General features: G+C 47.7%; 2 annotated features.

Annotated features, from left to right (window-relative positions):
• Positions 5,912-6,064: a silencer, noted in NCBI's record as "fragment chr7:68261521-68261673 (GRCh37/hg19 assembly coordinates)". NCBI's record gives its function as "represses an EF-1alpha promoter that drives an FKBP-Casp9 reporter gene in an ReSE screen in phorbol 12-myristate 13-acetate-treated (for megakaryocytic differentiation) K562 erythroleukemia cells {active_cell/tissue: K562(+PMA)}" and the evidence as "EXISTENCE:reporter gene assay evidence [ECO:0000049][PMID:32094911]".
• Positions 11,226-11,769: an enhancer, noted in NCBI's record as "NANOG hESC enhancer chr7:68255816-68256359 (GRCh37/hg19 assembly coordinates)". NCBI's record gives its function as "activates a minimal SCP1, AML or CMV promoter by ChIP-STARR-seq in naive H9 embryonic stem cells {active_cell/tissue: H9 hESC(naive)}" and the evidence as "EXISTENCE:reporter gene assay evidence [ECO:0000049][PMID:30033119]".

Genomic DNA, 12,154 nt, shown 5'->3' with positions numbered 1-12,154 from the left:
ATAACTATTGGGTACTGGGCTTAATACCTGGGTGGTGAAATAATCTGTACAATAAACCCTGTGACATGAGTTTACCTATAAACCTTCGCATGTACTCCGGAACCTAAAATAAAAGTTAAGAAAAAAAAAGGCTTTTTCTTTTAAACATCTGAAGATTTGATGGCTCAGAGGCCATGTTCCCGTGTGGTGATATCCAATTTGCTACCAATTCTACCTCTCCCAGCTAGGCCAGTATTTTTTTGTTGTGTTTGGCTTTGTTTTTGAGACAGGCTCTCGCTCTGTTGCCCAGGCTGGAGTGCAGTGCAACCATCGTAGCTCACTGCAGCCTTGAACTCCTGGGCTCGAGCAATCCTTCTGCCTTAGCCTCCTCGGTAGCTGGGGCTGGTACAGGTGTGCGCCACCACGTCTGGCTAATTTTAGTTTTTTTGTAGAGACAGAGTCTTGCTGTGTCATCCAGGCTGCTCCCAAACTCCTGGGCTCAAGGGATCCTCCTGTCTCAGCTTCCCGAAGCGCTGGGATTACAGACATAAGCCACCATGCCTGGGCTAGGCCAGTGGTTTTTGAAGTGTGGTCAGAAGACCAGCAGCATGCAGCAATCACCTGGGAATTGTTAGACGTGCTTACTCCAAGGCCTCAGCTACTGAATCAGAATCTCTGGGTGGTGGGAGTTGGGAGCAGCCAAAATATTTTAACAGGTTCTCCAGGGCTGCTGGTACATATTCAAGTTTGAGAATAGCGGTTCTATATGGTTGCCTGCCGGGCCCCTGAAGGCATCTGTGTTTGTCACCACAGCCTACATCTAATCCTTACAACTCCCCAAGGCATGTGTTGTTTTTCCATTTGATCACTTTGTTCCTAACGTGTTAGGACTTTAACACATACAGGGAAAAGTAGATCCATGTTCTCCTTCTGCATTTGAGAAAGCACTGGCTGGTGGGCTTGTGTTCTCTCTAGTCCAGCGTGTATCTTTCTTTCTTTATTTTTATTTTTATTTTTTATTTTTGAGACAGAGTCTCATTCTGTCACCCAGGCTGCAGTGCAGTGGCACGAACTCGACTCACTGCAGCCTCTACCTCTTGGGTTCAAGAGTTGCTCCTGGCCGGGCGCGGTGGCTCACGCCTGTAATCCCAGCACTTTGCGAGGCTGAGGCGGGCAGATCACGAGGTCAGGAGATCGAGACCATCCTGGCTAACATGGTGAAACCCTGTCTCTACTAAACATACAAAAAATTAGCCGGGCATGGTGGCGGGCGCCTGTAGTCCCAGCTACTCGGGAGGCTGAGGCAGGAGAATGGCATGAACCAGGGAGGCGGAGCTTGCACTGAGCTGAGATCGCACCACTGCACTCCAGCCTGGGGGACAGAGTGAGACTCCGTCTCAAAAAAAAAAAAAAAAAACAGAGTTGGTCCTGTCCTGTCTCAGCCCCTCAAGTAGCTGGGACTACAGGCATGCACCACCATGCCTGGCTAATTTTTGTATTTTTAGTAGAGATGGGGTTTAGCCATGTTGGCCAGGCTGGTCTCGAACACCTGGCCTCAAGTGATCTGCCTGCCTTGGCCTCCCAAAGTGCTGGGATTACAGGCGTGAGCCATCGCGTCCGACTCAGTCTGTATCTTTCTTCATCTGTTCTTTCTATGCTCATTTAGTCTTTGCTATGTATCGGGCATAAACCTAACGAAGCCTCCCTTGTGTTAACTCATTCAATCTTCACAACCGCCCTATATTAGCAACGAAGAAAGTAAGGCACAGAAGAAATGAAGCAACTTTTTTTTTTCTGAGACTCTGTAATTAGGGAATGGTAGAGTTAAAAGCAAGCTCCGGCTGGATAACTCTGGAGCCTGTGTCCCCACCACCTAGGCTAGATTGCCACTTTGATAGGCAGGTTCTTCATTTTGGCTTGCTGTTTGCCCTGTAAAAGTGGAGAGAGTATTTGGCTTTGAGACAGAGCAAGGACCCCCTTTGAGGGAGCTGCTGGAGACCCCCAAGCATGGAAATAAAAATCCTGAGTTCCTTCAAGGGAAATTCCAGGCACCCAGCTTGCCCTGAGAAGTAAATGAGCAATTTGATGAGCAAGAAGCTAATAGTAGCTTAAAACGATCTGGCCAGGTGCAGTGACTCATGCCTGGAATCCTGGCACTTTGGCAGGCCGAGGTGGGCAGGTTGCTTGAGCCCAGGAGTTCGAGGCCAGCCTGGCCAACATGGTGAAACCCTCATCTCTACTAAAAAAATACACTGCTAGGCGAGGCAGCTCATGCCTGTAATCACAGAACTTTGGGAGGCTGAGGCGGGACGATCACAAGGTCAGGAGTTCAAGACCAGCTTGGCCAATATGGTGAAACTCCATCTCTACTAAAAATACAAAAATTAGCCGGGTGCAGTGGCAGGTGCCTGTAATCCCAGCTACTCAGGAGGCTGAGGCAGGAGAATCTCCTGAACCCAGAAGGCGGAGGTTGCAGTGAGCAGAGATGGCGCCACTGCACTCCAGCCTGGGCAAAAGAGTGAGACTCTGTCTCAAAAAAAAAAAAAAAAAAAATTAGCTGGGCATAGTGGTAGGCACCTGTAATGCCAGCTATATGGGAGGCTGAAGCAGGAGAATAGCTTGAACCTGGGCAGAGGTTGCAGTGAGCCGAGATTGCGCCCCTGCAGTACAACCTGGGCGACAGAGTGAGACTCTGTCTCAAAAACAAACAAACAAACAAATAGCCAAAAAAGTTAGAGTCATGAGATGCTTGGTTCCCTACAGAAGCTAAACATGACATCTTAGCACATGTTCCTGAGTTGGTTTTCAGAATCCTGGACCCCACCCAGTGGATTCCCTGGCACATAGACCTCAGATAAAGGGGAGCTGACGACTCAACTCTGAGCTTGGTTCTTTGTTCTAAACTTCTCCCTGAGGGGCCTGGAGGAGGTCATGCTCACAGGCTAGAGCTAACATTCTTTTCCGCTGAACTCACTTTTTTTTTTTTTTTTTTTTTTTGAGGAGGAGTCTCACTCTGTCGCCCAGGCTGGAGTGCAGTGGCGTGATCTCGGTCTGAGTAACCGGTTCATCCCCTCTTTCAGGACTTTCTCTTGACATCTGATATCTCATGGCAGGACCAGAGTATAAAATATAATTTCAAGCCCAGTTACTGTGGCTCATGTCTGTAATTCCAGGACTTTGGGAGGCTGAGGTGGGAGGATAGCTTGAATCCAGGAGTTCCATCCCAGCCTGGGCAATGTAACAAGACCCCATCTCTACAAAAAATACAAAAAAGAGCTGGGTGTAGTGTTGCGCACCTGGAGTCCCAGCTACTCGGGAGGCTGAGGTGGGAGGGTCGCTTGAGCCCAGGAGCTGGAGACTGCAATGAGCTAAGATAGCACCACTGCACTCCAGCCTGTCTCTAAATAAATAAATAAATAAATAAATAAATATAAAGGAAGAAAGAGGCCAGGTGCAGTGGCTCACGCTTGTAATCTCAACACTTTAGGAGGCCAAGGCGGGGGGGGGGGGGCAGATCATGAGGTCAGGAGTTCGAGACCAGGCTGACCAACATGGTAAAACCCTGTCTCTACTAAAAACACAAAAATTAGCCAGGCTGGTGGCACATGCCTGTAATCCCAGCTACTCAGGAGGCTGAGGCAGGAGAATCGCTGGAACCCGGGAGGCAGAGATTGCAGTGAGCCGAGATCGTGCCATTGCACTCTAGCCTGGGCGACGGAGCGAGATTCCGTCCCACCCCCTGCCAAAAAAGAAAGAAAGAAAGAATTCCAGGCCCAGGGGCAGGACGTGGTGCAATCTTTGGTCAGGGGTCACGCACACCAAGTGGGTGGCTATTTCCTCTACAAAGAAGTCTGACCCCTTATCTTCAAGCCCACTTCTGCCTTTCCAGCCCTAAAGCCCTCTGTATAGGGATCTCCTTGAGCCTCCAGGACTGGCCCTGGTCCTGCAGCAGAGCAAGGCAAAAGGCTCTGATGAAAAGCCTCATTGTGGTCGCTGGCTATCGTTCATTATCTCGTGACACGGGAATACCGAAATGGAACATTCACATATTTTAAACTTGCAGAGATTTGTGCTTTAATGTAATTATTTCTGAAAGATTCTTCATCAGAAAGGTTAATAAGCGCAATATAGGTTAATGGCCGCACCAAGGAGACCGACATCCTCTGATAATTGACCTTATTGATATGGAAAAGTGCTCTGTGCCTCACCTTGAGGCACCGGACTGCTCTCCCTGGTCAATTATCTTTTAATGAAGCCTGCCTCTTCGGCCGCTGTTGAACTGTCAGGCCCTGGTCTGCAGTTCCTCCGTCTTCCCTGAAGAGAAGCCCTCCTTAGAATTCTCTGCAGGCCCTAGCTTGTTTTCTGGCTCTCTGGCTTCTCTCATCCAGGAAGAAAAAAAAAAAATTATGGGATCAGGCACGGTGGCTTGCACCTGTAATCCCAGCACTTTGGGAGGCCAAGGCGGGCAGATTACCTGAGGTCAGGAGTTTCAGACCAGCCTGTCTGAAACTTAGCGAAACATTGTCTCTATTAAAAAATACAAAAATTAGCCAGGTGTGGTGGTACGTGCCTGTAATCCCAGCTACTCTGGAGGCTGAGGCAGGAGAATCACTAGAACCCAGGGAGGTGGAGGTTGCAGTGAGCCGAGATCACGCCTCTGCACTCCAGCCTGGGCAATAGAGCAAGACTCTGTTTCAAAAAAAAAAAAAAAAAAAAAAAAGAATAGGGAAAGGTAAGTGACATTTATTAGGCACATCCCAGCTGCAGGACCTCTTCTGGGTGGCCTCTTTTACAGGCTTTGATTTTATAGACTTTACAACCAACTTGTGGAGCAGGCTTGGCTCATCCCAGTTTACAGATGGGGAAACTGACTTTGGGAGGTTCGGTGACATGCTCATCATCACAGTTAAAAGTGGCATTGCCGTTGTTGGTTTCTCCCATTATTCAGCCCCTGCTGCCGGAGCTGTCCCCTGACAAGGTGTCTGTTAGTGCCTCAGCAAAATACGAGGGCATAGAAGGGGAGGTGAAGACCTGCTTCTCGATTTTGCATTTGTGTCACTGTCAGATACGGGGTTCAGAGACTGCATCTTTAAGATCAGTCGAGGTAGATGCTGAGATGCAGGGCTGCTGGCTCCCAGAAGGGGTCCGTTCAGAAATGAACATTGTCCATGGAAACCCACCTGAAACTACAGCAACTGCCCTAACTTCTTGTCACTCTCTTCTGGCCCTGGATCGGATCTTCCTTTGAACAGTGATGGCAACAGCTTGAAGGGCTGCCAGTGGCTGGCATAGTGCATTTAGAGTCAACCTATATAAAGCATGGTGCATAGCAAAATGAGGGCACTAGGCAAAATTGCCACCAGTGCCCACCCAGTTTGCAGCCCAGCGACTTTCCAACAAGCTCTACCCTGAAATCTCCTCTGAGAGGTTCCACACCTCAGTTATCAATAATTGCATCGTCTCTGCTAACGGATTGCAGATCAGAGCTTGGCCTGGGAACCTCTCCTGGGTCCTGGCCCAGTGACAAGGAGACTGCCGCAGAGCTTCAAGGTCCGTCCATCCTATGTCACAGGGTGAGATATTTCAGAAGCCTGGTTGGGATTGTAGGGGCCCAGTGCTAGGTGTCCCTTCCCATCCCTAGACTTAGCAGGATGCTGAAATCATCCTGTGTCAGCTCATCTAAAAGGGGAAGAGTTATTCTATTTATTGGTTTATTTAGAGGCAGGGTCTCATTCTGTCACCCAAGCTGGAATGCAATGGCACAAATATAGCTCACTGCAGGCTCAACCTCCTGGACTCAAGCAATCCTCCCACCTCAGCCTCCCGAGTAGCTGGGACTACAGGCACGAGCCACCATGCCTGGCTAATTTTTTTTAACCAATTAAAGATTTCAGACTTGGCTGGGCTCAGTGGCTCATGCCTGTAATTCCAGCACTTCGGGAGGCGGAGGTGGGTGGATCACTTGAGCCCAGAAGTTCGAGATCAGCCTGGCCAACATGGCAAAACCTTGTCTCAAAAAACAAAACAAAACCCACAAAAATTAGCCACGCATTGTGGCTCATGCCTGTAATCCCAGCTACTCAGGAGGCTGAGACATGAGAATCACTTGAACCCAGGAGGCAGGGGTTGCAGTGAGCTGAGATTGCACCATTGCACTTCAGACTGGGCGGCAGCATGAGACTGTCTCAAAAACAAACAAACGGCCAGGCGCGGTGGCTCACACCTGTAATCTCAGCACTTTGGGAGGCCGAGGCGGGTGGATTACGAGGTCAGGAGATCGAGACCATCCTGGCTAACATGGTGAAACCCCATCTCTACTAAAAATACAAAAAATTAGCTGGGCGAGGTGGCAGGCGCCTGTAGTCCCAGCTACTCGGGAGGGTGAGGCAGGAGAATGGCATGAACCTGGGAGGTGAAGCTTGCAGTGAGCTGAGATGGTGCCACTGCACTCCAGCCTGGGCGACAGAGAGAGACTCCAGCTCAAAACAAGCAAACAAACAAACTAACAAACACAACCATTTCAGACTCAATTGAGTGAAAATCCAGATGGCAGAAATCTCTCCTAACCTTGGAGGGTGAGATGGGTTAGTATGAGGCTTTGCTTTTAGGAATTGAATGGTTACGCTCTCCTTCTTGAACTCTAAAATGAGTGCTAAGTAGCCTTTTTCATAGCCTTCTGCTGCACTAGGAGGGATAATCAACTTGAGACCAGGAGGTCGAGGCTGCAATGAGCTATGAATGGTGCCATTACACTCTAGCCTGGGTAACAGAGTGAGACCCCCCCTAGAAGAAGAAAAAAATATTTTCTTATGTTGTTATTCACTGAGCTGTATTTCCTAGGTGTAGCGTCTGTCTCCCTGGCTAGAATGTAAGTTTTAGAGATTCGGGATTGTACTCATTGCCTACCAGTGGCTTTTTCTGTGAAGGGCATGAACATTAGCCTTTGACCCAGGCCCTCTCCCCTTTACTCTAGAATTCCCATCTGCTCTCCCCATCCATTAAGCTACCAAGTCCGAGGACTGATGATAGCTTGATCTTGACTACCTTCACCTGGCCAGATCTGTGTTGTGCTGGCATGTTCTAAGGCTCGGAATCTGAGCATCTATGTCTGAGCCCGGCCTGCAGGAGTGACTGGCTTTAACTGTTTGGACAGATTTTAATGCCTTTAAAAAATAACCAGCCAGGCATAGTGGCTCACGCCTGTAATCCCAGCACTTTGGGAGGCCGAGGCAGGTGGATCACGAGATCAGGAGATGGAGACCATCCTGGCTAACACAGTGAAACCCCCGTCTCTACTAAAAATACAAAAATATTATCTGGGTGTGGTGGCACACACCTGTAATCCCAGCTACTCGGGAGGCTGAGGCAGGAGAATCGCTTGAACGCTGGAGGCAGAGGTTGCAGTGAGCCGAGATCGCGCCACTGCCCTCCAGCTTAGGCGACAGAGTGAGACTCCATCTCAAATAAATAAATAATAAATTTTAATAAACCTATTAGAGGCTGGGTATGGTGGCTTACGCCTGTAATCCCAGCACTTTGGGAGGCCGAGATGGGAGGATGGCTTGAGCATAGGAGTTCAAGATCAACTGGGTAACTTGGTGAAACCCCATCTCTACTAAAAATACAAAAAAAATTAGCTGAGTGTGGTGGTGTGCACCTGTAATCCCAGCTACTCGGGAGGCTGAGGCATGAGGACTGCAGGTTGCAGTGAGCCGAGATTGCACCACTGCACTCCAGCCTGAGCAACAGAGTGAGACTCTGCCTCCAAAAAAAAAAAACCTGTTAGAATCTCCTTTCTTTCATGTAGGCCATAAAGACAAAAATAAGACTAGTGAAAATATTTACATAATGTACACTACACTAGCAGTGGAACTCATTATCATAAGGTAAATAAATTCACCTAATGAATAAGTTTGTTTGTTTGTTAGTTTGTTTTGGAAACGGAGTTTCGCTCTCATTGCCCCAGCTGGAATGCAATGGCACAATCTAGGCTCACTGCAACCTCCGTCTCCAGTGTTCAAGGGATTCTCCTGCCTCAGTCTCCCAAGTAGCTAGGATTACAGGTGCCCACCACCATGCCTGGCTAATTTTTTTTTTTTTTTTGAGATGGAGTCTCACTCTGTCAGCCAGGCTGGAGTGTGCAGTGGCACGATCTTGGCTCACTGCAACCTCCACCTCCTGGGTTCAAGCGATTCTCCTGCCTCAGCCTCCTGAGTAGCTGGGATTACAGGTGTGTGCCACCACACCCATCTAATTTATGTATTAGATAAATTTCTCCATGTTGGTCAGGCTGGTCTCAAGCTCCTGACCTCAGGTGATCTGCCTCCCAAAGGGCTGGGGTTACAGGCATGAGCCACATTGCCCAGCCACATAAGTTTTGAAAAAAAAAAATAGCAATGGAAATTCCTATAACATTAAATTAACCATTTTAAGGTGAACAATTTAATGACATTTAGTGCATTCATAATATTGTACAACCACTGCCTCTATCTAGTTCCAAAATATTTCCATCACTCCAAAGTAAAATCCTGTACCCCTTAAGCCATTTCTCCAAATTTCCCCTTCCCTCCATCCCTTGGCAAATATGAATCTGCCTTCTGTCACTATGGGTTTATCTATTCTCACTATAAATGGGGCCAAAAGACTAAATAAGACAAAAATAAGACTAGTGAAAAAATCTGCATAATACGTACCATACTATAATTTTTTTCAAAACTTATGCAATAGGTGAATTATAGAGGTGGAAATTCACTTAACATAAAATCAACCATTTTAAAATGAACAATTTATAGCCTTTTGTGTCTGGCCTTTTTCACTTAGCATAGTGTTTAAAGGTTCATCCATGTTGTGGTGTGTATCAGTACTTCCTTTCTCTTTAGGGCTGAGTAATATTCCATTGCATGGATATACCACCACTGGTTTATCCATTCATCTGTTGACGGACTTCTTGGCTGTTTTCACCTTTTGGCTATTGTGAATAATGCTATTATGAATATGTGTGCTACATACTTATTTGAGTACCTGTTTTTAATTCTTTTGGGGTATACCTAAGAGTAAAATTGCTGGATCCTATGATAATTCTTTTTTTTTTTTTTTTTTTTTTGAGATGGAATCTTTCTCTGTCCACCAGGCTGGAGTTGCAATGGCGTGATCTCGGCTCACTACAAGCTCTGCCTCCCGGATTCACACCATTCTCCTGCCTCAGCCTCCCAAGTAGCTGGGACTACAGGCACCCGCCACCATGCCCGGCTAATTTTTTTTTGTATTTTTTGTAGAGGCGGGGTTTCACCATATTAGCCAGGATGGTCTTGATCTCCTGACCTCATGATCCACCCATCTCAACCTCCCAAAGTGCTGGGATTACAGGCGTGAGCCACCACCCCCAGCCTGGATCCTATGATAATTCTATGCTTAACTTTTTCAGGAGGTGTCAAACTGTTGTCAACAGAGGCACAAAGAACTTTTTATTTTATTTTATTTTTGGGGAGGGAGTCTCACTCTGTCGCCCAGGCTGGAGCACAGTGGCTCAACCTCTGCTCACTGCAACCTCTGCCTCCTGGGTTCAAGCGATTCTCCTGCCTCAGCCTCCCGAGTAGCTGGGACCACAGGTGCATGCCACCATACCTGGCTAATATTTTATTTTTATTTTTATTTTATTTTTATAAGACAGAGTTTTACTCTTGTTGCTCAGGCTGGAGTGCAATGGTGCAATCTTGGCTCACTGCAGTCTCTGCCTCCTGGGTTCAAGAGATTCTCCTGCCTCAGCCTCCTGAGTAGCTGGGATTACAGGCATGTGCCACCATGCCTGGCTAATTTTGTATTTTCAGTAGAGACGGGGTTTCTCCATGTTGGCCAGGATGGTCTCAAACTCCTGACTTCAAGTGATATGCCCTCCTCGGCCTCCCAAAGTGCTGGGATTACAGATGTGAGCCACCGAGCCTGACCCTTTTTAAATATTAAACAATACAATGAGGAGATTTTGGTGTGAATCCCAAGTGGCCCACAACCTGCTTAAGAAGGCAGATCATTTTGCCATCTGTTATTTTCAGAGATTAGTCTTCCTCACTGGGGGAAGACAATGAGTCCTTCAAGACCATTTTAGCCTAATTCAAGAAGTGATGATTATTAAGTTATTAAGGCATTTGGAAATTAGATTTTCTATTGACAACCAGGTGTTCTAATATTTGGAAGCACATCACATTCTTTAGTAGAGATATCAGAGAAAGGAAAAGGAGGGTTCTGTTCTTCTCTCACCGTAGCAGCTTGGTGGACCTAAGACCTTTTCCAAACGAGGTAGTTGAACATAGCAAATAAAGGGGAATGTGCTGAGTAGGAGGGGTGTAGGGTATAGCGGAAAAAAACACGCCACCTTTGAAGGTGGAAGATGGGAATTAAACAACTTAAGGGGCTGGGGGTGGTGGCTCATGCCTGTAATCTAAGCACTTTGGGAGGCCGAGGCTGGCAGATCACTTGAGGTCAGGAGTTCGAGACCAGCCCGGCCAACATAGTGAAACCCCATCTCTACTAAAAATACAAAAATTAGCCAGGTGTATGGCGAGTGCCTGTAATCCCAGCTACTTGGAAGGCTGAGGCAGGAGAATTGCTTGAGCTTGGGAGGCAAGGGTTGCAGTGAGCCGAGATTGCACCACTGCACTCCAGCCTGGACAACAGAGTGAGACTCTGCCTCAAAAAACAAAACAAACAAACAAACAAATTAATGCCTGGGAGAACCTCTTCAAAGCAGAGCCCTAGGTTAGTGCCTGGCATGTAAGACGTGCTCACTATAAGAGGTGTGCTGAGTTGAACCAGAAATCATACTCTGAAAAACTCTATATGACTGCTGCAGTTGACCTCTAGGGATGGCCCCACCTTGAAGACTCCAACTTTGATTAGTTGCTATAGCAAGTCTGGGACTTCATACCTCTCAAGACTTCTGGCTGGGTGCAGTGGCTCAAACCTGTAATCCCAGCACTCTGACAGGCCGAGGTGGGCGGATCACGAGGTCAGGAGTTCAAGACCAGCCCGGCCATCATAGTGAAACCCGGTCTCTACTAAAAAAGTAAAAAAAGAAAATAGCTGGGCATGGTGGCGGGTGCCTGCAGTCCCAGCTACCTGGGAGGCTGAGACAGGAGAATCGCTTGAACACAGGAGTTGGAGGTTACATTGAGCCGAGATCATGCCACTGCACTCCAGCCTGGGTGACACAGCGAGACTGTGTCTCAAAAAAAAAAAAGAAAAAAAGAAAAGACTTCTGATAGCTCAACTGGTGCCGTGCTTCATGGTGAGCTCTTCAGAGCTACCAGAGCTGGAATGAAAACATCAAGGTGGAAAACGAAAACCAGGGCAAGGTGAAGTCAGGTGTTGGGCAGATTGTGTCGGTGAGATATAAAGGCTAAGCCCAGAAAAGGGTGAGCCAGTGTCAGGGCCAGGCATGGCAGGAGACGTCAGATTTAAATCAGAGTAAATTGAGTGCCAGAGAGGTGCTGAAATCCTAGAACAAAGCCCATAGAGAGTTGTCAAGGAGGAATGGTTTGGGAGCAGGGATATGTATATTGTCAAGTTAATTTACACAATGGAGTGAGTTGCATTTGAAGGGCTAATGACTAGCACCTATAGACCCCGTTGGGTGAATCTTAAAGAACTGAGAAAGGGCCGGGTGCAGTGTCTCATGCTTGTAATCCCAGCACCTTGGGAGGCCGAGGTGGGTGGATGGCCTAAGGTCATGAGTTCGAGACCAGCCTGACCAACATGGTGAAACCCTGTCTCTACTAAAAATATAAAAACTAGCCGGGCGTGGTGGCAGGTGCCTGTAATCCTAGCTACTCAGGAGGTTGAAGCAGGAGAATCACTTGAACCCGGGAGGTGGAGGTTGCAGTCAGCTGAGATCATACCTCTGCACTCCAGCCTGGGCGACAGAGTCAGACTCTGTCTCAAAGAAAAAAAAAAATCTGTAGCTTTGTGAACTTGGGTTACAAGAATATTAATACAGCGGCCGGGCGCAGTGGCTCACGCTTGTAATTCCAGCACTTTGGGAGGCGGAGGCGGGCGGATCACGAGGTCAGGAGATCGAGACCATCCTGGCTAACACAGTGAAACCTCGTCTCTGCTAAAAAAAAAAATACAAAAAGTTAGCCACGCGTGGCGGCGGACGCCTGTAGTCCTAGCTACTCAGGAA

This window comes from Homo sapiens, chromosome 7, assembly GCF_000001405.40.
Source record: "Homo sapiens chromosome 7, GRCh38.p14 Primary Assembly".
NCBI classification, from domain to species: domain Eukaryota; kingdom Metazoa; phylum Chordata; class Mammalia; order Primates; family Hominidae; genus Homo; species Homo sapiens.
Note: the sequence above shows the minus strand (reverse complement) of the source record. Positions and strands in the feature narration are given on the sequence as shown.